At 33.7% G+C, this 27,928-nt stretch overlaps 1 long non-coding RNA gene across 1 annotated transcript in view; it reads right to left on the reverse strand.

Annotated features, from left to right (window-relative positions):
* Nucleotides 1-33: 33 nt before the first annotated feature.
* Nucleotides 34-27,928, reverse strand: part of LOC124902418 (uncharacterized) — a 30,001-nt gene continuing 2,106 nt past the window's right edge. Inside the window, exon 2 of the long non-coding RNA XR_007062137.1 lies at nt 34-27,746. This is a non-coding gene — a long non-coding RNA (uncharacterized LOC124902418). The remainder of the gene's footprint in view (nt 27,747-27,928) is intronic.

The raw sequence follows: 27,928 nt of genomic DNA on the forward strand, positions 1-27,928 counted from the left end.
TAGAAAATAATGACTGCAGGTTGTATAACACAATCAAAGTGTTTGTTGTTGTTTATTTTCTTTGAAATTAACTGGCATGCTCGATCTCATTGACACTAGCATCAAAATACCTGATATTATTAGCCGTGACATATGTTAACTAGTGGTTTCTATGACTGCTTCCCATCACTACTCCCCACCTCAGTGATCCTTAGTGATCCATTTGCTCATCAAATTGAAACTAATTTCCCCAAAGCAAGGCTATTATGAATTTGAAAAAGTTGATTATTTCCGAGCAGATAACTTTAAATGTCATGGAGCCTATTTAAAGACAGCTTTATAGCACAAACCTTCTGTTCAAGCCTTAATGTACAACCAAATGGACCAAATGAGGCAAACAGAATCAGGCTTCCAAATATAATCATAATTCTAGATTAGCTCTCAAAATAAGACTGCAGTTCATATATTCTACAAAGTATGTTTTGACATTAAATGTAATATACTGAGGATTATTTTTCTGATTTACACTTGCTTTGGTTTCTACCTTTGGGTAGGTGGCTCTGACTGTGAAAAAGTCGCTGTGAGCCTGCCAGGCTACATCTCCCTCCCAGAGGTGAAATCATGCCCTATTCTCCACATTGCCTTTGCCTTCAGATTCTTATTTACATACTAATGTTTCACAATGTTTTTTTTTCTCTTCCTTCTAAACCTAAGCAGAGATATTTCCTCTACCTAGTGTTATTCATTGTGAGGAGAGGAATTTTTTCTTGCAGGTGGGAGAGTATAGATAAGGGTAATAAAATTCCCATAGTTTTTTGTTTTGTTTTTGTTTTTGTTTTTCTGGGCATGAACTAGTAGTATTTATTTTCTTTTAAATCACAAAGTATGATTGTTGTAGCACTTCTTCTCAGTTCTATTTTCTTTTTTAAAAAACAACTGTAAATTCAATTGTACAGGCAGTTTCAAGTAATCAAAACGTAATGTATTAATCTTGACATCTGTGGTTTGTGGATTCAAATCCCTACATTCTCTAGCTTGTAATGTTTATGAGGTAGTGGATGTGAAGAGTTCATAAGTCAAATTCACATTTAATTTGTACTGGTTTCATCATTCATCACAAAATATGCTACTGAACAACAGTGAGTATGCTGTTGATATGTAAATGCACAAATATACATGCACACAACATATAACAAAGCAGTTTTTATGATGTACCTCTTGCATTACAATACTCTTATGTAGCTATACAACTCCTACAAGACATAAAGTAAACACAAAAGCTATTTTCTTCACTTGCATGTATGTAGATGTATCCTAGAGAAATGCTATTGTTCCTCAGAAATGGTATTTGTAAATGAATTTTTTTTAATTAGACAAACCCAAAGTACTATACTATGGAGTAAGTTTGTCTTATTTTGTTTTTAATCAGTGAATATAGATGACTAGTTCATTCACTTAGTCTTTCAGAAGAGTTTTAATATCAAAATTATCATATGGTCTGACTTTTTTTAAAGCCCAGTTCTTACAAAACAATAAAATCAGACCTGGTGAGGTTCTGACAACTACGAGAGAAACTTAGTACCAAATACATATGCTATTTCTCCATTTGCACAAGACAGCTAATTTGTAGAAAACAGAAGACTAAAAGTTGGTAAATCAAATGTGTTTTATAATTACATCTGTGAGAGAAGAATCCTCTTATGACTTCTGGAAATATCAAAATCTGAAATGACTAAATAACTGACATGCCAAGGAATTTGTATTCTCTTGTTCTTTTACACATTAGGGGAGAAAATAGTAAAAACTAGCATAATTGTGTGGCAAAATATCCATGAAATAATATTTTGAAAGTTAAAATATGGATTTAAATTAAGACAAATGGATGTGTTTTTTAGATGTGTATGCCTAAAAGATGGATACTGTGGATATCTGATGGCTTTCTTGATTAAGCCACAACCGGTGGACCTCACAAATGTCAAATATGTTATTCCAAAATGTCAGTTGTTTAGACTCATTTCTCAGCTTGTTATTGATGAGTTTCCTTTCACATTTGGAGGAATCCTGTTGGGGAAACTGAAGAACAGATGTTAAGTGTGAAGTGTCTCCCTCCTTAGTTCATATTCATATCACATTGTTTGAGCTGCCACATGTAAACAATATAGACACTAAGCCAACTGGTCCTCTGCCTACTGCTGATGTGGCAGAAAATATCTAGGAGGTAGCCAGAGGGGCATATGTATACCTGTTAAGTGGCCTGGTTCTCCAATAGTCGTGCAAGTATTGCTAAATTTGTTTCGCTCCTGGGAATTCAAGCTTCTATTTCAGATTCCTAATCCACAGCATTAATTATCTTTTTTGAATACCCGAAGCAATTTATGTTGCTTAACATATAATAAAGTTAAGTCCATTATTATTCCTGTCTTATAATTGAGGAGACTAGAGTCTAGATTATTTAAGCAACCAAAATCACACAGTCAGTCAATGACAGAGCCCATGACTAAAATTCTGTCTGTCCCCAGATTTGTGCTCTTCAGATAATGACATTTCTGCACAGTTATTAATCTGAGTAAATAGAGTCCATAGTGAATTATTAGCTGATTTCAGGAGATTCCATGCAAATAAAAGTCTGTCATATCATGCTCTGCCAGTCTACATTAATACAAATCACAACAACAAGGCAGTTTATTTAAAAATATTAAAAGTAATAGAAGATTGAATGGAAGGATGAATGGATGGATTGATTAAGAGATAGATAATAAATAAATTGATGAGAGAGAGAAACACACAGAGAGAAAGATAAAATTAACCACACTAATAAAAGTATGATTTGGTATATAACAGAAAAAGTTCTTTAGTTTGTTTGTTTGTGTGTGTAGGTATTCTGTCATAAAAACACAATTATCTAAAACATAAAGTCTCAATCTTTTGCTTAAGAAATATTTTTAATTTAGGCTGGTTACAACTGTGAATTAAATTTTATTTTTATTTTTTATTTTATTTTATTTTGATTTTTTTTTTTTTTTAAGATGGAGCATCGCTCTATTGCCCAGGCTGGAGTGTGGTGGCGCGATCTTGGCTCACTGAAACCTCTGCCTCCTGGGTTCAAGCGACTCTCCTATCTCAGCCTCCCAAGTAGTAATTTTTGTATTTTTAGTAGAGATGGGGTTTCACAATGTTGCCCAGGCTGGTCTTGAACTCCTAACCTCAGGTGATCCGCCTGCCTCAGCCTCCCAAAGTGCTTGGATTATAGGTGTGAGGCACCATGCCCTGCCCAATTGTGAATTAAATTTATATCTAGAAAAGGTGAGAAATATTATTAACGAAGACATTTCTTTCTATGATACTTAAGTTATACATGTGTAGAAGGTGCAGGCTTATTGTATAGGTATATGTGTACCATGGTGGTTTGCTGCCCATCAACCTGTCATCTACATTAGGTATTTCTCTTAATGCTATCCCTACCCTTGCCCCCCACCCCCCGACAGGCCCCAGTGTGTGATGTTTCCCTCCATGTGCCCATATGTTGTCATTGTTCAACTCCCACTTCTGAGTGAGAACATGTGGTGTTTGGTTTTCTGTTCCTGTGTTAGTTTGCTGAGAATGATGGTTTCCAGCTTCATCCATGTCCCTGCAAATAACGAACTCATTCTTTTATATGGCTGCATAGCATTCCATGGTGTATATGTGCCACATTTTCTTTACCCAGTCTATCATTGATGGACATTTGGGTTGGTCCCAAGTCTTTGCTGTTGTGAATAGTGCTGCAATAAACATATGTGTGCATATGTCTTTATAGTAGATGATTTATAATCCTTTGGGTATATACCCAGTAATTGGATTACTGGGGCAAATGGTATTTCTAGTTCTAGATCCTTGAGGAATCACCACACTGTCTTCCACAATGGCTGAACTAATTTACACTCCCACCAACAGTGTAAAAGTGTTCCTATTTCTCCACATCCTCTCCAGCATCTGTTGTTTCCTGACTTTTTAATGATCACCATTCTAACTGGCCCGAGATGGTATCTCATTGTGGTTTTGATTTGCATTTCTGTAATGACCATTTCTGTAATGATGAGCTTTTTTCATATGTTTTTGGCCACATAAATGCCTTCTTTTGAAAAGTGTCTATTCATTTCCTTCGCCCACTTTTTGATGGGGTTGTTTTTCTCTTGTGAATTTGTTTAAATTCTTTGTAAACTCTGGATATTAGTCCTTTGTCAGATGGATAGATCGCAAAATTTTTCTCCCATTCTGTAGGTTGCCTGTTCACTCTGATGGTAGTTTCTTTTGCTGTGCAGAAGCCTTTTAGTTTAATTAGATCCCATTTGTCATGGGAAGACATTTCTAACCAGCAACAGGTCCAGTATCAGGGCCTTTATGTCTTTGTCCACAAAGTGAGTATGTTCTGCACAGGGCAGCAGTGTTTAAGGATATATTCTCTTCATGGAGTAACACCCAACTCAAACTTTAATGGTAACACTTTAAATCTTTCCAAGCTCTAAAAGCAATTTCTTCTGCTTAATTGCTTTTTGGGGACTGTAATACATGTGGGTATTCTTACTCTAAATATAATTCTCTGCATTTATTTTCAACATTTCTTTTATGGCCACTTAAGTGACTTTTCTCTGGTTATTTATGCAATATAGGTGACAATCCTATTTGGTTTTCTATTTGAACATTCTGTAAAAGCTGAATAACAACTCCAAAATACAACACAAACATGCAGATACATATACAAACACTTACTGTATTTTATTCAATTAACAAGTGTGTTCACTTTAATTCACACACAACTATACCTATAGGCATGCCCACACATACAAACACACATACACTGTTTCTCATTCCTATTTCCTTTGTCTGTACTTGGTTTAGTTATGGCACTTTTGTTTTGCCTCTAACATTTTTATTTTAAAAAGAAAATTAAAATAGGTTATTGGGATCAAAGATATAAGCTTTTTGTTACTTTGAATGATTTTTGTAATTCAGAATATGCACTTGTTATTTCAGTTCTTATTTTTATAATTATTGGAAGAGTTTGTCTAATTACCCTATAAATCCCTAGAGAAAGGTAGCCACCATATACTTTATTTCTTGGTTATATGTATAAAAATCAGTAGGCAATGTAAAAATGTTTTTGTGTGAATTTATGTGAGTTATAATTCTAATTCTATGTCAATATTCACCTCAGATTACCACATGAAAGCTTAGTCACCAAGTATGCCTCATACTGAAATACCCACTGATTAAATCAGTTGACGACCAGCTCCTATCTTACATTCAAATCACCAGGATCAATAGAATATTTTCTTATTATCCAGATTCTCAATCCATTGCTTCTACTCACAAACTTCTCCCCATGATAAACATACACACATACATACACATCTCCCAGATAAATTCTTATGGTCATGACAAGGTAATCCCACTGCTTCCATTTATTAAATAATTGATTGAAAATATTTAGGTGAGAAAAATGGTTGTGTAAGAGTAATATTGTTAGCAATTGCTAAAACTGAATGTCTATGTACCTTCAAAATTCATATGGTGAAACCCTAGTTCCCAGTGTGATAGTATTCAGTGGTGGGCCCTTGGGGGGTAATTAGTTGGTGAATGAGATTAATACTCTTATAGGAAGAGACACCAAAGAGATAATCTCTTTCTCTTTCTCAGTCTCTGCCATGTCAGTATATAATGAGAAAATGGCCACGTGCAAACAAAGAAATAGGCCCTCATCAGTCACTGGATGTGCAAGCACCTTTATCTTAAATTTTCCAGCCTCTGGAACTGTGAGAACAAGCGTTTTCTGATTAAGTCACCCAGTCTACGGTAATTTGTTTTAACAGCCTAAAGTAACTAAAACTGCAATTATCTCATGAATTTGGAAATGGTCTGTGTACACATTATTAGTAATTAATTTTGGAAAATTTACTTTTTTTTTGGTAAATCTTAGTTCTCACTAAAGAATAGGGATGATAACAATACCCTATCCCCAGCATGTCCATGAAAATTAAATGGTAGAATGAATCTAAAAAGCCCGATGTATAATGGGTATAAAGTATTCAATACATGCTGATATTTACTTCTTTTCCCCTTTACGAGTACATGCAATACGGTCTGATGAGGTCTTTTTAAAACTGTTCACAATAATTGACATTTTACAAGTCATATCATGTGATACTTTTTGCCAAACCTGGTCTCTGGCTTGATCAGTTTTATTTTACATTTGAAATTTGTACTTAGACTTGTGGGACTACTTTCTTCCATGAAAGATCTAATACCCTACAACCAAACACTTCATTATTTGGAATTAAAAAGCGAAATTCTTTGATTATATCTAAGCTAATTTAAGTATTTTAAGTATATAATGTTTAACTGTTAAGTAGTTTACTTCAATTATTAAAATGACTGAGTCAGAGTAACCGATTATACTTCCTAGGCACACTAGGCCAGATGTCAAGAATCAAGGACTTCATTTTCAGAGCTGGCACTCATTAGCTCTGGGTTTGGAGAATTCACTTATTCTCTTCATTCTTTCTGAATAGTTTAGCATTGTTTTCTAGATGTGATTGAGTTTAAATGCACTATTTGGAGGCTTATAGGTTCCATTCTTTTAGGGAAAATAATTTTGAAAAAGAAAGAATAAAAAACTCTAGGTCAAAAGGGATCTATGGCTGTCTCACAGCAAGAGTGAAACACTGAGATGCCTACATGGTATATAAATATTAAAATAAAGAAGGCAAGCTGACTATGAAAAACAACAGCTGAATTATGGCAACAAATGAAAAATGTCAGTAGTATCTCTACTGGGGACACTATGGAATGGTGGGGACTGAGGATAATTAGAGAAGACAACCTGCCTACACATGGCAGCATCTACTAAGACTTATGACTCTGTTTATGAAGAATATGAGTAAATGTCCTGATATTTAAACACATACCAAAAATTAAGATGTTCATGTATTTTGCTAATTTGATTATTTTAAAGTAATAATATTTTTTATTCAAACAAATATATTGTCAGTTTAAAGGCCACTGTTTCTTACGTAATAAAATTTGCTTTTTGATTTGATGCTTGAATTTTTTCTATGACATCACAAGAAAGTTATTGGTTATACATGAACAAATGCATGAATGGAATTATTATTACTTTCATTGACAAATGCTTTTATATATGTAAAATTTTCATCTTAGAAAGTTATTTTATGTGTTTTTAGAGAACTATCCTCTCTTCCATGATGCATCTTTGTTAGTTCTATTTCTTTAAGTAACATTGAAGTTATTTATTTTTCTGTTTTTGTATATCACATTCTTATTCCACTAAAATACCTATATTTTCTTCAGTTATGTATGATTGGATTTTTTTAACCATCCAGATACATGTCTTGTGACATAATAGAATCTTTTTTATTCTTAGAATGAAAGAGCTAAACCATAGTCAGAAAACTTATGAATTTACTATATCACAGCTACTATGGTGTGGTATGTAAATTATGTTTATGAAAATTTATGATTATTCAGATTAAGTCCTGCATATGTAATGTTAAGATTTTTTTACTTTATTTTTCTGAGAACTTGATTTACTAAAAGGTAAATAAATCACACTAGGATATAAATATATCATTATTATTTTAAAAGGTATGCCCCAGTCCTCTTCTTACTGTTGGATAAGCTCGTTCTGAAACCACAGTTCCAGACTCTTCTCCTGAGTAAATAAACATATTTTAAAGCAGTGGTAAATATCTGTTTTGTCTGCAACTCCATCTCCAACAAGTAATTTGTTCAACAATTGTCAGTATGAAGTGGATGTCCTTTACATCAGCTCCCTAGATTTTTTCAAGTCCATTGGTGCTTCACAACATTTTTTCAGAGGTTATATTCTAGTCACTTTCTTTATTGTCCATTCAAAACACTTGCTGAGACCTAGGGTGTCAGATTCTATTTTGCCTGTTATTTGACATTCCCTTCTCTTCCCAGGCCATTTAGCTACATATTTCCTATTGGACTATCTGCTTTGGCATTTAGTAAATAAATACCGTAAGTCACTGAGGGTATGGGAAGAAATATTGAGTCATAGATACCATTTTCTCTTAGGGAATTTTCCTCTGAAGGCTTGCAAGTGTGGTATAGTTCAGTGTAGTGCTACCAGCTTCTGTTCTAAGGACACAGCTAATTGGGTTCCTAATCCAAGATAATTTAAACAGATTATTTAACCTTTTTATGTTAGTGTTTCTATTTTGTATAGTGGTTATAATAAAACCATTTACTACTTAAGATTAAGATCCTCATAGATCTGAAGAAATATTGTACTAGAATGCTTAGTGAAAAATGTCTGACACATAATAAATATTCCATACATTTTGGCCTTTGCTCTCATTGTTATTTTTACCATCAGCTCTCTCAACCTTGAAACCTGGCTCAGCCCCTGTGGAACTGTAGTATATCACCCCTGTCCCAAAACGAAGACCTAGAATATTTACCCTTACATGGTTCCTATATCCGAGGTCCCAGAAAGGTAGAAGGGGGAAATGTCACAATAATATTCAAAATATCTGAAAGCAAACTGTTATTGTTTTAGTGTGAGAATAGAGCTTCATAGAATTTGACATTGTATTTCCCTAAAATATTAAACTTGTATATTCTCAACAGTTATATTATAAATATTTATTCAGGTATACTCAAAATTTATCCATATTAATGATAATTATTTAAATGCTCTTTAGCTGTTCATCACCATATTAATACTAGGAATAATGACAGCTAATTTTAATTGAGTACTTCCAAACTGTGGCCCAGTTACAGTAAAATAAACACTATTAGATACACTCCATCAATTATTACAGCAAGTCTATGAAACATACTGTATTACTAAGCCAGTATTAGAAATGAAAAACTCATGGGAAGGATATATATAAAACTTGCTCAAAGTTACCCAGCTAATAAATGGCTAGGACACAATTAAACACCTATGTAGTTTTCTTTCCTGAGCTGAAATCCTAAATCCTTGGCTGTATGGCCCCTCATTCAAAAGCCCTAAATTGGCTAAAATTTATATAACAGAAAATTCACAGAATCATTTCCTTCTACTTTTCCACTACCAGGGCTGTTAACAGTCCCAAGTAAAAGGGCAAAATTTTTTCTACTTGAGATAAGAAAAATACAGAGTGTGACAGGTGTTCCACCAATATAAAAACACTTTACCAGAAAAACTGAGAAGGGGGCTGTTAACCTTCGGGGAAATGTGGGTCTTCAGTGGATTCTTGCTAGAAACATAAAAACGTAGAGAGAAGATTTTCATTTAAAAGCCTCCTCCCTTCAGCAAAGTATATTCTGATTCCATTATTGTGTTAGGCTCCTATATAGTTATAAGTAACCCCATGTGGTTTTAGAATTCTTAAATATTCACACACATAGTCATCTGAAGAATGAATAAATCCATGAATGACTAAACCAAGTTTATTCCTATATCATTTTCAATATCCTTAAATTATGCTTACATCCTTAAATCGGTTGCCTCATTCTCAAAGCACATAGTCTGTAACTCGTAAACACCTGTCGGCCGGGCACGGTGGCTCACGCCTGTAATCCCAGCACTTTGGGAGGCCAAGGCGGGCATATCACCTGAGTTCGGGAGTTTGCGAACAGCCTGACCACCATGGAGAAACCCCGTCTCTACTAAAAATACAAAAAATGAGCCGGGCGCGGTGGTGCATGCCTGTAATCCCAGCTACTTGGGAGGCTGAGGTAGGAGAATCACTTGAACTCAGGAGGTGGAGGCTGCGGTGAGCCAAGATCATGCCAGCCTGGGCAACAATAGCAAAACTGTGTATCACAAAACAACAACAACAACAACAACAACAACAACAACCAAAAAAATATATATATATAAAATTCATTTAGTACGGAAGAGTGTGAGGAAACAGAAAGTTAAAAAAAAAAATTGAAAGACCAGCAATAATCTCACTTTTTCAAGAATTTGTTAGCTCTTTCTGAGCTCCACTTAACAGTTACTTTCCCATTCTTCCCTGCACACCGTCAACACATAAGGACTCAAATTAAGATGATGTATATGTTTACACTCCAAAATTTTTAAAGAAAAAGGAGAGAGAGAGAAAAAAGTAAAAGAAAAGAAACCCAAAAGGGAAAATATAGCTAAGGTGAACTGGTGAGTTTCTACTCAGAATCCTTATTATTGAGCATGATGTATTTTGTTTTCTTAATTTATGTATAATGAAAATGGAAGAGAAGAATTATAAATCATAGTTCATTTTTATGATCAGTACATAAATAAAATTTGAGTCTTTCTTGGCATTCATTACTTTACCTTAAAAACACAAGAGTATTTACTTTTTGTGTGGCAAAGAAGGCCTAATGGGGAACCTTGACCTTCACCTCAACTTGACAGTAAAAAAGAGCTGCTTCCTTCCCCTTTTGCTTGCCATGTGTCTGAAAAAGACTAGTAGCAAGAATATATAAAGAACTTTCAAAACTTAGGAGTGAACAAAGTCAAATTAGAAAGTGGGCAAAAGACATGAATATACATTTCACTGAAAAGAATATATGTTTGGAAAATCAGAGCATGAAAAGATGTCAACATCATTAGCCATTAGGGAATGAAAAATTAAAACCCCAATGGGATTTCAATATATACCCAATGGAATAGTTACAATAAAAAATAATGATAATACTGAGTGCTAGCAAGGCTGCAAAGAAACTACATAACTGCTGCATGGTTGATGGGAATGTAAAATAACAAAGCCATTCTCTATAACAATTTGATACTTTCTTTAAAAAGCAAACAAAGAGTTTAACAGGCAATGACATTATGATGCAGTAATTTCACTCCTGGGCATTTACAGCAGGGTAATTTTTAAAAACCACGTTAATTCAAAAACTTTATACAAATATTCAGAACAGCTTTATTTTTAATAACCCCAAACTGGAAACAACCCAGACATTTTTGAAGGAGTGAATAAGTTTAAACAAAATGTATTACATTCATGCAATGAAGCACTACTTAGCAACAAAAAGAAACAAGTTATTGATATAGACAACAACCTCCATAAATCTTCAGAGAATTATGCTGAGTAAATAAATCTAACCACAAAAGATTATATGATATAGAATTTCCCTTGTAGAACATTACTGAAGTGATAAAATTATGAGAATGGAGGAAAGATTAGTGGTTATCAAGGGTTAAAGATGAGGTGAAAGAGGAAAATAGATGTGGCTAGGAAAGAACAACATGAGGGATTCCATGGTAATGGAAATATTCTGTATGTTGACTATATCAATCTCCACATATTGCTTATGATATTGTACTATACTTTTGCCAGATGTTACCACTGGGAGAACTGAGATAAGGTTACAAGAGATCTCTCTATATTATTTCTTATAACTGTAAGTAAATCTACAATTATATCAAAATTTAAAAGTTATTTTAAAAAGAGAGTTCTTAAATTAATAATTCATTCTCCCAACCTTAGAAATTAGAAAAGGAAGACTAAACTGAGCACAAAGCAAGAAAAACGAAGAAATAATACAGATTAGAGCAGAAATCAATGAAATAGAAAATAAAACAAAAAACAATAAAGAAATTTAAAGATCCAAAGTTTGAATCTTTGCAAAGATAAACAAAATTGAGAAATATTTAGATGATGAATAATAAAAAATGCCGGGCACAGTGGCTTACGCCTGTAATCCCAACACTTTGGGAGGCTGAGGTGGGTGGATCACTTGAGGCCAGGAGTTTGTGACTAGCCTGGCCAACATGCGGAAACCCCATCTCTACTAAAAATACAAAAATTAGCCAGGCATGGTGGCGAGTGCTTGTAATCCCAGCTACTTGGGAGGCTGAGGCAGAATTACTTGAACCCAGGAGGTGGAGGTTACAGTGAACCCAGATCCTGCCATTGCACTCCAGCCTGGATGACAGCAGCGAAACTCTGTCTCAAAAAAGAAAAAAAAAGAAAGAAAAAAGAGATAATGTGCTGACTACCAAAATCAGGAACAAAGGTTACTACTACCAATCCTCCCCCATCCCATCCAAATATATTAATTATAAGGGAAATACTATGAAACACTTTTGATCACAAATTATACAACTTATATTTAAGGTAGAAAGTCTTAAAAACATATAAATTACCACAGCTGAAACAAAAATGAATAGAAAATCTGAATAAATATATCGAATTAGCAATTAAAAGTCTTTCATAAGGAAATATACAGGACTTCACTGGTAAGTTATTTCACATATTCAATGAAGAAATGATACACATACTCAGAAAATAGAAAAAGAGAGAAACTTCCCAATTCATGTTATAAGGCCTATATTCAAAGGCAAAAATAAAAAAAGAAAGAAAAAGAAATTTAAAAAATAAAAATTAAAATTAAATTACAGATCAATATACCTCACAGATATAGACACAAAAATCTCCAATAAAATATTATCAAACTAAATTCAACCATATATAAAAATGATTGTACTCCATGACTAAGTGAAATTAATCCCAGAAATGCAAGATTGTTTTTGTATTTTAAATATAAAATGTAATGTAATATACTGTGTTATAAAATAAAGAACTAAAATGAAATGATTATCTCAATGATGCAGGAAAAGGATTTGACAGAATCTAACATGAATTAATAAAAAAAAATAGAATGGAAATTCTTCAACCTGATAGAGGACATCAACAACAACAACAACCAAAAACACTACATTTTACAGCAATATCTAATGATGAAAGATTGGATATTTGCCCCTCAAAATTGGCGACGTGCCAAAGATGTCTATAATGTTTACTCACTAATTCTATCCAATATTGCACTGGAAGTTATAGCCAATACAATGAAGAATACATTGATAAAGCCCTCAGGAAATGGAAGTGGCTGGGCTCAATAGCTCAGGCCTGTAATCCCAGTGCCTTCGGAGGCCAAGTCAGGAGGCTTACTTGAGGCTAGGAGTTCAGATCCAGCCTGGGCAACAAAGACAAATCCTCTTCTCTATGAATTTATTCATTTTTTTAAATTAGCCAAGCATGGTGGCATTCACCTCTCCGTCTTAGGTACTCAGGACGTTGAGGCAAGAGGATTGTTTGAGCCCAGGAGTTCGAGGTTGCAGTGAGCTATCATTGCAAGTTACTGCACTCCAGCCTGGTAGATAGAGAAAGACACTTTATCTCTTAAAAAAATTAAGAAAATAATTATATTCACAATACTATACAAATAAACCCTTGGAAATAAATTTAGCAAAATGTGTGTAAGGACTGTATGCTGAAAACTAATAATCTAAGCAAATGGAAAATCATTCCATGCTCATGGATTGGGAGACCTACTATTGCTTTTCTAGTAATTCTCCCATCATAGATCTATAGATTTAATACTATTGTTACCATACATTAGCCATATTATATGAACATAAATATTTCATTTGTGAGCCTCATATCTAATTATTTGTTATTTACATATAAAATAATTATTTTAATATGAGCTCTTTGAAAAGCACTTTAAAAATGGTTCCCTGAGACCTTGGCTTTCAAGTTCTACTTAAACTATTCAGTATGAACTAGAAAATTTAGTAAACAAAGTGTCATCTTCTGCCTCATTATCTTTTTATTTGGAAAACTATGTTAGACTCCAAGGTATTCTCTCTTTACTTCAATGTAACAGAAGTAACCAGTTTAATTGTTCAGAACCTGACATTTATTTAATCATGTCTTCTTAGTGTTCAGGTTTATTGTCTTCAATGACTGGATGCCAGTCTGCTTCCTTTTTGACTTTCCTAGGCTCGGATTCATCAGATTCTCTACTTGTGCCATTTGGAATGGAAAGACCCTCCCACAGGGTAGAGGTTATTCATTCTCTCTCTCTCTCTCTCTCTCTCCACCACAATTTTTGCCAAGAGCAAGTCAGGTTTTTGGTCAAGCTAAATTTTTACTGCATGCTTTCCTTCAACTAAGTGTGAAAGAAATCTATTAAATAATATTTAATTTGGTCTCAAATGTGAACCATACTCTCCAACCTAGTTTTTCTACCAAATAACCATGAACTGAAATTTACTTCATAGTTTTGACCTTCATAAATTGTTTGTTTCCCCATTTATCTTCAATTCTTATATGTTTTGAAATTATTGATATCAACTCTGGAGAAAAGAGTAAGTCTTACAACCGGCATAACAACAGGTACAATTAAAGAAGTATGTTCCTTAACATGAGAAGAATGTTAACCCATTTCAATCAAAAGTATTTCATTTTTCCCATGAGTAACACTATGCTGTGCATTGTGGAGTTTACAGAGGAGGTGAGATATGGTCCTGACTTCGTGGTATACAATTTCATTTGATAGGGCAAGGCATATGTGGTATAATAAAGATATAGATGTTACTGACGTACATGAGAGCCTTGTGGGCTGAGTTCCCTTATAGAAGTGGAGTCTGTGCAATCTTGAAAATGGGTAGCATCTGGATAAGAAAAGAGTCAATCAAGTAAGAGAAATGCCCCAAAATTGCTTCTATGATAGTAGAACAGCTTCTTTCAGAAAAAGCTACATAGACATTTAAATTTAAAATTATAGCATCTTACAAACAAATATATAAATACCATTTACTTTTATGTCTAATACATTTAGGGAAAGTATCTAAGTCAATGTTAAAAATTCTATTTCAAATCCTCGCATGCATCTCCTTTCACTAATTAAATAATAGTGAACTGTGTTTTGAAATCATCAGACACTTCAAAATTAGTTTTCTTTTCAAATAATGCAACGTAGTAAAATGGTGGACTTGCAAAGTTCTTATTTTACTGTGATTCTTCTATGAAAATAATGTAGGACTATTTAAAATTTTTCCTTAAACTTTCCACAAGTGTAAAGTAGGTAAAACACCACAAGCAATATTTGCTGAATTATTACAATATATTATATGTCTTTTACTTAATATGAGTTATACACTGAGAACTTTTTTTTTCACAATAATTCTCCGAGATGAAGATAAAGTGGATGAAAAGTTGAAGTAAAGATGTATTCACCCTACAAGACTTAATAGTGAGTCTATGCTTAACTCAAGATTGCACTGGCCAAGGGATTAAAGAGGCAGAGGAGAAACTGCTTCCAGCGTTGTTTCCCAATAAATCAATAAAACTTGTCAGGTGTTTTCATCCAAGGAGAGAGTAACACTAACCTCTATCTTCATGTATACATTTTTTCCAGGCTTTTGGAGCTTGTCAATGATTCCTAAACTTGGCTTTATATTAGATTCACCTGGAGACCCATTACAATCCCAATGTCACCAGGCATGGTGGCTCAAGCCTGTAATTCAAGCTACACGAGAGGCTGAGGCAGAAGCATCCCTCAAGCCCAGGAGTTTGCGGCTGCAGTGAGCTATGATCATGCCACTGTACACTAGCCCAGGTGACAAAGTGAGACCCTGTCCCCTTCTCCCCAAAAATCCTGATGTCCAGGTTATCAAATTAGAATTTTTGAAGGTAGGATTGAGGCAGTGCTACTAAAAGCAATGACAAAAAGAAGCAAGCAAGCAAACCACTTGATGATAATATGGAACAAAGGTTGAGAACCACCAGATGGAAAAAGAAAACAAATTCATTAATACTGATCGTCTATTACCTTTAAATAACCTAGATCTCAAGAGATCCCAATATACAAAAGCTTTGGCTAGGACCTGAGAATCTATTATAATTAGCATTTTCATTAATCTTAATATCTCACTCATATCATGCACAAAATTCAATGTAAGATGGATCACAGACCCAAATATAAATGCTAAAGCTTCTAGAAGAATACTTTGAGGAACATCATAATGATCTTGAGTGAGATAAATAATGATTTTTTTTCGAGAGCACAAAATGTATTAAACATAAAAATAAAAATTGTTAATGTTTTTACTATATTAAACTTATATTCATTTATTCAAAAAAACCTCATTACATATATAAGGAACTCCTAACAACAGAAAAAAATAACTTAAAAAGGGAGGCAAAATGATTGAATAAATTTTCTTCAAAGACATACAAATAGCCAAAAGGTATATGAAAAGATGTTCAACGTCACTAATGATCAAAGAGATACAAATAAAAACCAAAATATGATATCACTTACCACTTATTAGGAGGGGTAATTTGGAATTTCCATTCCAAAAGAATGGAAATCAGGATGTGGTAGAGTTACCTGCATACCCATGTTCTTTGCAGCATTACTCACAAAACAACAAAATCTGAAAACTTAAATGTCCATCAGCACATAAATGAATAAAGAAAATGTGGCGTATAAATACAATGGAATATTTTCAGCTTTAAGAAGCAAGGACATTCTGCCATCTGCAAGAACATGAATGAACCTGGAGGATATCATGCTAAGCGTGATAAGCCAGTCACAGAAGGATAAATTCTGCATGATTTCACACATATGAGCTTTCTAAAATAGTCAAACTCATAGAAATAGAGAATAGAATGGTTAGGGGAAGGAGGAAGAAGGGTTGCTGTTCAACAGGTATAAAGTTTCAGTTGTGTAAGTTGCGTAAGTTCTAAAGATTTTCTGTGCAACATCACGCCTATACTTAACGGTGCTATAGTGTACATTTAAAACCTTACTAAGAGGATAGATCACAAGTTATGTTTTTACCTCAATGAAAAATGAATAGAAATGTCACAGTGAGATAACACATTTGAAATACACAGACCTGACAAAATATTTCTATGGAAAGTAAATAAATCCTACAAATTGTTATGCAGAAGATACATCACTCAATTAGAAGTGGGCAAAAGACTTGAACGGTCAGTTCATAAAAGAAGACAGCCAAATGGGGAATCAGGAAAAGAAAATGTGCTGAACATAGTTGGTCATCAGAAAAAATGAAAATAAAAACCTCAATGAGATGTCATTACATATCCAAGAGAACTGGTAAAATTAAAATGGCTAAATACCTGGAGACCGATATGGGAGGATAGCTTGAGCCCAGGAGTTCAAGGCTGCAGTGAGCTATGATTGTGCCACTCCACTCCAGCCTGTGTGATGGAGCAAGACCCCATCTCTTAAGAAAAAAAATTGGGGACTGAATATAGCAAGTGTTGAAAAGGCTATGAAACAAAGAAAATCTCATACATTCGTGGTGGGAGAGTAAATTTACAGCTATATTTTAAAGAAGTTTGGCAATTTCTTATAAAGTTAAACTGCACAAATACCCAATGACATCGTGATTCAATTTATAGGTATATACCAAAAATAAATGAGGGTGTGTATTCACACAATAGAGACAGATATAAAATTATTCATGGCAGGTTTTTTTTGTAGGCAAAAACTGGATGGAACATCTATAAAGTGGAGAAGAGATAAACAAATTATAATATTGACTTACAGAGTAATAATACATAGCAATAGAAAATAAAATATTGACACATAAAACAGCATAGATAAATCTCCAAAACATCATGTTGAGTAAAATAGGTCAGATACAAAAGTGTAAAATCTGTATGATTCCAGACAAATTTGACCAGTGGTTGTTACTGACTGGAATAAAGCACCAGAACATTTTCTGTGGTAGTGAAACTGTTCCTTACCTTAACATGGCTGGTGTGAATATGAGTGCAGAAATACATAAAGTTAAGGTATACATCTTAAATTTATTCATTTTATGAAATATAAATTTAGTCTTGGTAATGCACTTCCAAAATTTTTTATTAAGGCTATAATTAATTTTATATTTTTATTTATAAAAATGAGTGATATATCACATTATATTTGAATATTTTTCTAATAGAAGACCTTATGGCTTAAAATTAAGTATTCTCTTTAATAATTATCATAAATTTATAATTTAATAAGTGATTTATAACTGCACAATAACATAACAACAATTTTATGCTTAGGTAAAATTGTCTTTATTTTAAATTTAAGTAGTACAGCAACTTTACATGGCTTACCTAAACCACACAGTTATTAAGTGATATAATTGGGACTCTAATCCGGGGCTGTTTCTAAGTAATATGTTCATTTCTCTTTGAATTTATAACTTGAATACATCTTTTTAAAAAATTATTAATTTTTAAAATTTAATTAATTAGTTAAGATACTCTCAATTTATTGAAGATTATGTGGTTCTTGTAACACTAGATGGGTTAAAGTCATACTTTTGACTTCTATTATTTATGTGATTTTATGTGATCTTGGCCAGTCAGCCTTTTTTTGGTAAAAGGGGAATGATAATATCTCTCAAGAGTATTGCAAGATTCAAATGAAATTAAATGTGTTGAAAGCTTCTGTAAGAAATGTACACAGTACACAGAAGAATCTCCATTTTTATAATTTCTCAATTTTCCCTTTACATTTTCATTCTTACTGTCATCTGTCTCTCACTGATGCTGCTGCTTCTCATGTAGCCCCCCAAGTGCAGACTAGTTCTCACCCTCAGCGCTCTAACCACTGCCTCTAGAAGTAGAATAAGTGTCCTCTTGCAGAATACTTCTACTTCCTTCTCCTCAAACCCCTCCAGCTTGGAATCTCATACCATTTGATTATATTGATCACTCTCCCAATGTTTAGTCACTTTCCCTCATTCTTTGAAGTCTTTACAACCTGACTTACTGCCATTATTTTGATATCTCATTTAAATTACTTATCTTCTTTGACATTTGACCTCGTCATTTCCAACGTACTTGCTATCTTCAGTATCTAGCTATTCAATCTCATGATCTCAGCTCAAACCATGTTATTACTCCTAATTGCAAATTTTTACAATCTAACTTTTAAGTTTCCTGCCTTCTGAACATTAACTTCTATCTTTCTAGTTCATTCCATTTACTACAACTTCAAAAATACTGTGACTCATCCTGGATCTACAATCTCATACAATATACAATACAGTCCTTATACAATTCTCAATCCAATAATCTCCACACATCCTTTACTTCTCAGCAAACCTACCTTCAAAACATTTAAATAATTTTTACTACTGCTGTTATCCACCCAGGCCTAGCCAACATCATGTCTCATCTGAATTTTTATCCCCCTTCCTGCTTCTGCATTAGCCCTCACCTTCAGTCTATTCTCAATACCCAAGCAAGAATATAACATAATATCATAGAGATCATGCCACTCTGCTCACTCACTTTTAAGGACTTCTAATTCCACTCTCAGTCATTATTGTACAGATTATACAGCTCTACTCATGCTCCCCACCAGGCACACCTCTTTGATCACAGCCCTGTTGCTCTTCCCCTTGTGCCTCTGTTCCATCTTTACTGCACCCAACACTTCCTGGTGCTCTTTGGGCAGCCTGGGAATTGTCTCTGTGTTAGTCCATTCGAGCAGCTATAACAAAATACCATAGACTAAGTAGCTTATAAATGACAGAAATTTATTTTTCACAATTCTGGAAGCTAAGTCCCAGATCAAAGTGCTGACATATTCCGTATATGATGAGGCCCTATTTCCTAGTTCATAGACCCATCTTATTCTTCATATGGTGGAGTCATCATATGGTGGAAGGGACAAACCAATCCCCTCAGGCATCCTTTATAAAGGCACCAATCTCCTTCATGAAGGCTCTGTATTCATGACATAATCACCTTCCAAAGACCTTAACTTTTAATAGTATCATACTGGAATTAGACTTCAACGTATGAATTTGGGGGGGTTGTCAACATTCAGACCATAGCACTGTCACGTTAGATGCTTTGTACATGGTTTCTCTGACTGAAAACACCTGTCTTCAAATTCCCCCCTGGATTGTTTCCTTACCTCCTGGATTAGTTCCTTCTCATGCCGCTAATAAAAACATATCCTAGACTGGGTAATTTATAAAGGAAAGAAGTTTAATTGAGTCACAGTTCTGCACAGCTGGTGAGACCTCAGGAAACTTACAATCATGGTGGAAGGGGAAGCAATACATCCTTCTTCACATGGTGGCAGCAAGGAGAAGTGCCAAGCAAAATGGGGGAAAAAACCCTGATAAAACCCTCAGAGAACATGAGAACTCACTCATATCACAAGAACAGCAGCATGGGGGTAACTGCCCCCATGATTCAATTGTCTCCCACCAGGTCCCTCCCATGACACATTAAGGGATTACGGGAACTACAATTCAAGCTTTAGATTTAGTGGGGGACCCAGTCAAACCACATCACCTTCTTCAAGTCTTTCACTCAAATGCTACTGTCTCTGTCATGCCTTCCTTATTTCCCTACTTAAAATTGTATCTCCTTCTCGTGTTCTTTATTTGCTTTGTCTGCTTTACTTTCCTCCATAGCACTTAGCAACACTTAACATATTATATAGTTTAATTTTTTATGTTATTATATATCTCCTTCCAAGAGAATGTAAGCTCCAAAAAGGCATATATTTTTTTCTTTCCTTTTTTTCACAGGAAAAAAGGAAAGGCCCTGTGTTATATCCACAGGGCCTACAACAGAATGTGGTACAAGGTAGGAGCTTAATGTGAATGAATGAATGTTAGTCTTATTACCTTTTAAGTTTACCTAATTTTCTAATTTTCTACATTTTCTACCTTCCTCCGTCCTTTCCACCTTCCTACCTCCTTTGGGATGTGCATACAGAAAGCAGCAACATTAAGGTAAGAAAGTTTAACCTTTGGATTAATATTAAAACCTTGAGACAGTTTTGCTTTTCTGTTGCCTTTAGCAAAACCACATTCCTGCTGCTGTCAGTTATGACGCACTGAGAAATCTTCAGAGACCTAAACTTTTTCCACAAGATGACTGGAGAAAAATAAATCACCAAATATCATAAAGATACTTGCATGTTTTGTAAGTGATTAATGACTGCTTTCTCATAACAGTAAAAACTATTTTGTTTTGTATGAGAGGATTTTTCACTCTAACTTTTAAAAAAATCATTACATACAAATATATCACATCAAACCCAAAAGCCATTGCTAGCACACTGGTTCCTGTCTTAATATTAAGTATGAGACAAAAGGCCTTTATCTTCCAGAAAGTTGTTTATAACATGCCAAATATGTGAACACCCAATAGTCAAAGGACATTATCTCTGTGATGCAATTTTGAAAGTTGGTAAAATAATTTTTTATCAATTTCATCCTACAAGCACATAATTTAAACCATTCTTTTAAAGTGGATTTTAGAAGATTGGAAGTTTTAGAAGTCAGTCCCTCCACAAAAACTGCCATTAAACTGCAAAAAATAAGAATTAACCTTTTTGGAACTCTGGATCCTAATCAGATAAATAACAACCATTAGTAGAGTGCTTGATGCTATTGGTCTTTAGTAAGAAAGTGGCTGCATGCACACGCCAGATAACATCACTCATTCTTATTCACAAGAGTCAAAAAGTGAAAACAAACCTGTATGTGTGGATAAACAAAATGTGGCATGTACATACAAGGGAATATTATTTAGCCATAAAAAGGGAATGATGTTCTGATACATGTTTACAACATGGATAAACCTTGAAAACATTATGCTAAATAAAATAAGCCAGACACAAAAGGACAAACAGTATATGATTCTACTTATATGAAAGATCATGAATAGTCAAATTCATGTAGAGGGAATGCAGATTGCATGTTTCCAGAGCATGGAGGCTGGGGCAAGGGGAATGAAGAATTAGTGCTTAATGGTACAGAACTTCTGTTTGATGTGATACAAAAGTTATGAAAACAGTGTTAATTATACAACATTGTGAATGTATTCAATATCACTGAGTTTTAGAATTGAAAATGATTAAATGGTACCTTTTATGTTATGTATATTTACCACTGGGTAATAAAATTGTATTAATGTAGGTGAGGCAATTTTAACAGTTGTACCACTCTGGAGGAGGATATGATAATGAAGGAGGCCATGCATGTGGAGGCAGGATATATTACATATATAATATATATTTATAATATATATAATTATATATATATTATATATACACATTATGTCAGGGTGTGTGTATATATATATTTTATATATATAAAAAAACATACACCCTGCCTCCACATACATGTAAGACATATATAGTAATATATGGTATATTATCATATATAATATATATAACTATATATATATATATATGGTAAATCTCTATCTTCCTCTTAATTTTTCTGTGAAACTGAAACTGCCCTAAAAAATTCAAGTCCTACAAAAATGAAAGTGAATTAAAGTACTTTTTCTGGAACAAATAAACTTAGCATAAATAGTTAAAATATTAAGAGTTGTAATTAAGGGAAATTTCCGCTCAATGTGACTTCAACAGTTTAAAAAACGTATTACTACAATAAGACCACGGAGAGAGGAATTGGGAGACCCAGAATTGATTGGGTCAGAAATTGAAAATGATATTATCAGTGACCCAGGTTTGAATGTCTCTCTTCACAGCATTGACTTCACTAATGGATGTGACCTGGTTGGCAGCAGTAGCTTGGACAACATGCTTGTTTGCAGTGGGTGGTAGAGAGAGGCAGGTTTTGCTTTCCCAGAAACCCTGAAAAAGGTCATCAAACCTAAATTTCCTTAGCCTTCTTCCATGAGCAAATCACTAGCAGATGATTGCTAGCAAGGTGTTACTATTACAATGAACCCCTAAGTATCATAGAAAGAGTTAGTTTGGGGAAATATCCTCTCCACCACAATCTTAGTCATTTAAGTCAATTTAACAATATATTGAAATATTTTTCTTAGAAGTTTAAAGTTCCATTAAAGAGTAACGATTACAGAAATTATAGGTAGCCTTTAGTTCCACAAGTGACATCTCAAGAGGAAGATGATTCATCAATTTCAAACTTTCCTTGCAAGTAATACTGGATGAAAATTAACTTGGCAAACATAATTAATAATCATGGGTTATTAATTACTTCCGCAAGGTGGGTGTGCTGATTTTAAAAGGCTTGAATAAAACATAAATTTCCTTAATTTGATACTGTAAATGGAGTAATTTGGTGATGTAAATGGAAATATTTAAGTGATTTTTGCGTCAGATCTTACAACTTAAAATATTTTTCTAAAATTAGTTTTTGTACCATCTCTCCAGCATGTTCCAGCCTATATCAGTCAGTCCAGGCTTCTATAACAAAATATTATGGACTGAATGGCTTACACAACAGACATTTCTTACAATTGTAGAAGCTGGAAAGTGCAAGATTAAGGTACTAGCAAATTTGTTTCCTGGTAAGGGTCTTCTTCCCGGTTTGCTGTATCCTCAAACAGCAGATAGAGAAAGAGAGAGAGAGAGCACTCTATAGACTCTCTTCCTGTTCTTATAAGGACACTAATTCCATTGAAGAGGGCCCTACACTCATGACTTTGTCTAAACCTAATTAATTCTCAAAGGCCTCACTTCCCAATACTGTCACATTGTGGGGCAGGGCTTTAACATATGAAATTTGAAGGAAAAGGAATATTCAGTCTAGAACAAAGCCCCATAAATTTCAAAAAGCTGTGGGACAGGAGGGAATGGGGATGGTATTCAATAGTACCACATCCAAGCAAGTCTTGTGTGGTTAAAACAAATCAATACAGTAACATGAAATTTTACACAGAAACCTATCTAATTATAAATTGTATGCTTACCATAATCAACACTGTTATACATTGTTTTAAAAATACTTAATAATGTTTTTTGTTTAACCAAATAATAGAGGCATTAACTAGTTTCCCAGTGCTGCCAAAAGAAATTGCTACAAAATTTGTGGCTTAAAATAGTAAAACAAACAAACAAACAAACAAAAAATTCTCTCTCAATTATAGGAGGCCAGAAGACCAAAATCAAGGTGGAGGCAGAGGCATACTTCCTCTGATGCCTCTAGGGAAGAATCCTTTCTTGCCTCTTCTAGCTTCTGGTGGCTCCTGGCACTCCTTGGCTTGTGACAGCATAACTCTAACCTTTGTCTCTATCTTCACATGACCTTGCTTGTGTTTCTGTGTCCCAACTACCCATGACTCACTCTAAATTCAGATGATCTCACCCTGAGTTCTTTAACTTTATTATATCTGTAAAGCTCCTATTTCAAAATAAGGTGACATTTACAGGTACTGGAATGGGAGAGGGTCTAGGACACAGACACTCCCTTATGAGGATACTACATGACCCATTACAAGGCACAAAGTAATCACCATAGGCAAACCGCTAGTGAGAGCTCACTCCAGTTCGGAATATATTCATGTTTCTATGTAAGAGAAAAATTCATCCTTGCTTCAGTTCATCTTGGCATCAGTACAAGGGTGGGATTCAGAGACATATAAGTGTGGAATACCAGATCCCACCACACTTAAAAAGCTGGCATACTAAGTTCATAAACAATGTAGAGTGTGAAGTTGAGTTGAAAATGCTTATGCCATACAGTTTATGTATCTTATAATAGCCTTAATCACACTTCCAGTAATGTTCTCCACCACTGGATGCTAAAAAAATAAAGTTAGTTAAAGAATTAGATAGTATAAAAAATATATATACCTCTTTGAGTGGAAAAATGCTGTCAGCACATTTTGTTATTTTATTCCATTGTATAAAGTCTCACTAGTGCCCTCTTCATAAATGTATTGAAGGTTTGGCTAAATTGTATCAAATTTGTGATTAAATACAAATGTGAATACTATAAAATATTACAAAGGACAATCTGTATACTATGCTATGCCAGTTTTACAATTTTACAATGACTTACAGATGCCATAAATATTTACTTTAAGGGAGTAAAATAAGTTATAAAATCATATTTAAGGACACCTAAATCCTTGAATAAGTTTAAAATGGTATTATTATTTACATATGAAGTCAGCTGACTATTGAAAGCTTATTTTTCAATAACAGAAATATATGCATTATCTAAAACACATATTCCAATATTTTCAAGAAACAAAATACTGAATTAAATCATCTGTATTTAAATGTTTATCTATTTTCGTTATAAATGTCCATGAAAATGCTTAAAATTGGTTTATTTGATCTAAAAAGTTAATATGCAATTTTTATTTTTAATATATCATTTTTCCCATTTATTCTTTTCTAAATAACACGTTCATCCAAAGTAGATGACTGAAGAAACAAAATGCTGTTTTCTTTATGAACTTGTAATACATTTCAAAAATAATTAAGATATTGTTCAAGGTGTTGAAGTGTACAATATAACAAATTGCATTTGCAGTTGAATAGTAGCAGAGTAGAAGCTGAAAAAATAAATCATGTATCAAAGTAGCTTAAAACAGATGATAGCAGAGCAAAGAGTTTCCTGCCAACGCCCTCTAAACATCGGTTCTTTTAGGCTTTTGTGCTGGTATTAGGTTTCAGTTATAGACAAGACATATATATCTGACCTTTTCCTTTCCTTTTCTACACCTTGGAGTCAAAGTCTCCTATAAAAGGACATTTGCAGCAAGTATTTTCAGCTGGAGTAGGAGGAAAGGGCAGGAGTAGGAGAGCGTTATGATCACCTCTTGCCAAAGCAGTTTCACTTGATTTGCAACTGGTGTTTGGTAAAGAATTTTGCTATGCAAAAATAGTGTCTTAATTGGATTATTTTAAGACAAAGTATGCATTTTTCATGTCGTACTAGTATTTTATTAATAAGGCTAGGGAAACCTACTAAATCCCTATACTAAAGTGAATTTGATTCTCTCCATAGAAACTTAAATCCTCAGGGTGATACAACTCAGTCCTTCTACTGCAGCAGCTCTTTTATAAATGCCTCCCAAAGCTCCAAGAAGGAACAAAGAATGTGACCAGTAAGCTCACACCATGAGTCTATATTGCAGAATATAGACTTTGTTCAACAAAACTGCAGATGCTCTGTTGAATCCACTGGAGATTGTCCTGATACTAAGGACAAGTATGTAAGTTAATGATTTTATTAATTTTAACATTTTTAAATGTTTTCCTTTGGGGAATTCTAATTTATATATCAATATTCAGGTAATATTTGCTGAAAACACAAACTCTGAGAATCAAAATGATCTGCATTCACATTCTCATTTTCTATTATAACATAGAGACAACTACTTTATTATCTTTTTAGAAACTTTCGCAACTACTTTAGTTTCTTCCTAATTTTATAAATTAATCTATCTCAAAAAACTTTGCTCAAAACAGTTAGTAATAGCTATCAACTTCAGAAAAAGTGAAACTTTAGGCCGGGCGGGGTGGCTCACGCCTGTAATCCCAGCACTTTGGGAGGCTGAGGCAGGCGGATCACGAGGTCAGGTGATCGAGACCATCCTGGCTAACATGGTGAAACCCCATCTCTACTAAAAATACAAAAAATAACCCTGTCTCTACAAAAAATTAGCCTGGCGTGGTGGCGGGCGCCTGTAGTCCCAGCTACTCGGGAGGCTGAGGCAGCAGAATGGCGTGAACCCGGGAGGCGGAGCTTGCAGTGAGCTGAGATCGCGCCACTGCAGTCCGGCCTGGGCGAAAGAGCGAGACTCCGTCTCAAAAAAAAAAAAAGAAAAAGAAAAGAAAAAGAAAAAGAAAAAAAGAAAGAAAAAAAACTTTAAAGATAACTTTTAGAAGGAAAATGAAATACAGAAATAATACATCTCATTTACACTTAATTAAAAATAATATGAATTGTCACTATTTCCTATGAAAACATCTCATGCCAAGTTCTTTTATTAAGCTTGGATTTTAAATGTTATATTTGAGTTGAAACTGGTAGAATCTTAGTAAAACTATAACAATAAGAAATTTTTATATTATATATGTAATATACAATAATCACATTTAATTCCATTTGTTAGTCTATTCTGATTCTTTAGCAGGTTGATTCATAATTTACCAACTTGGATCAGAAATATTTTCTATTCTTAGCTTTTGCTGTCAGCAGAGATAATAATAATATAGAGCCTGAACAACAAAGGATTGTGTATTGTTTCAATTTAATTAAAGTTGATTCGCTGCTTTAAGAGAGACTCACATTTTATATTTTATATTTTTTAATTAAAAAGAGAATGTAGATATTTGCTTTTCCAAATTTCCCATAAGATAAGAAAAACATATTTTTTCTTAATTACACCCTTGCTAAGTCACGCTAGCTGCCTGACCTTGGACAAAATTCTTAACCTCTTTGTGTCTCATTTTCAGTAACTGTGAATTAAAGATAATAACTGTAGTATATTTCTCAAGGGATTATTGTGGGAATTAAATAAAATAATCCTCTAAAATGCTTAGTACAGATTCTGGAACATAATAAGCAGAAAAAATTAATAACAATTATTATTTTTATTTACTGTATTATGTGACATACTTTTTCTTTATGACCTTCAGGAGAATTTCTACTCATCTTAAAAATGTATATAGATATTGATCTGCAGAGAAATATATCTGTTATTTCAAGGTCTGTGGATTACATAATGGTCAACTCTGATTGATTTACTGATTAAACAAAATTTTAAAACAAAAATAAAAATATTGCAGCTATGTTGGTTTTAACCATTCTAAACTCTGATGAAATTTGCTTTCTGTTTGGTTTGTGACTAGGAAGATAAACATTATTTATTAGGAATAAAAATTTCTGGTGTCTAAAAAATTTCAAGAGGAAAACTGTTAGATTCTATTACAATTAAATCTGTTAAGATTTAATTGCAAATATGTAAATAATGCAAATATATCTTAGGGCACAATTTTTGTTCTCATTAACTTACCCATTTTACATTTTGAGAACAGTAATAGATGAAATACTTGTCAAAGAGAAGATCTAAGATGGTTTAAAGAAAATATTAAATGAAATCAAACTTACTTGTCAAGCTCCATAGCACAACTTACAAGTCATAAATCACACTCTGTATGACAGCTACGGAAGGGATCTGGGTAGTAAAACAAAATGATGGATTTTATCTTTCCTGTTTTTGAGTTGTTTTTTTAAGAAAATCCTTTTCAGTAGATTTGTTAACAGTACATAATGAAAATCCTATAGGCATAGGCCCCCCAAAAAATCACAAGGTATACAACACTTGTGTCATGCATCACCCAGAAAAAGAATCACATA

Source organism: Homo sapiens, chromosome 10 (assembly GCF_000001405.40).
Source record: "Homo sapiens chromosome 10, GRCh38.p14 Primary Assembly".
NCBI lineage: Eukaryota > Metazoa > Chordata > Mammalia > Primates > Hominidae > Homo > Homo sapiens.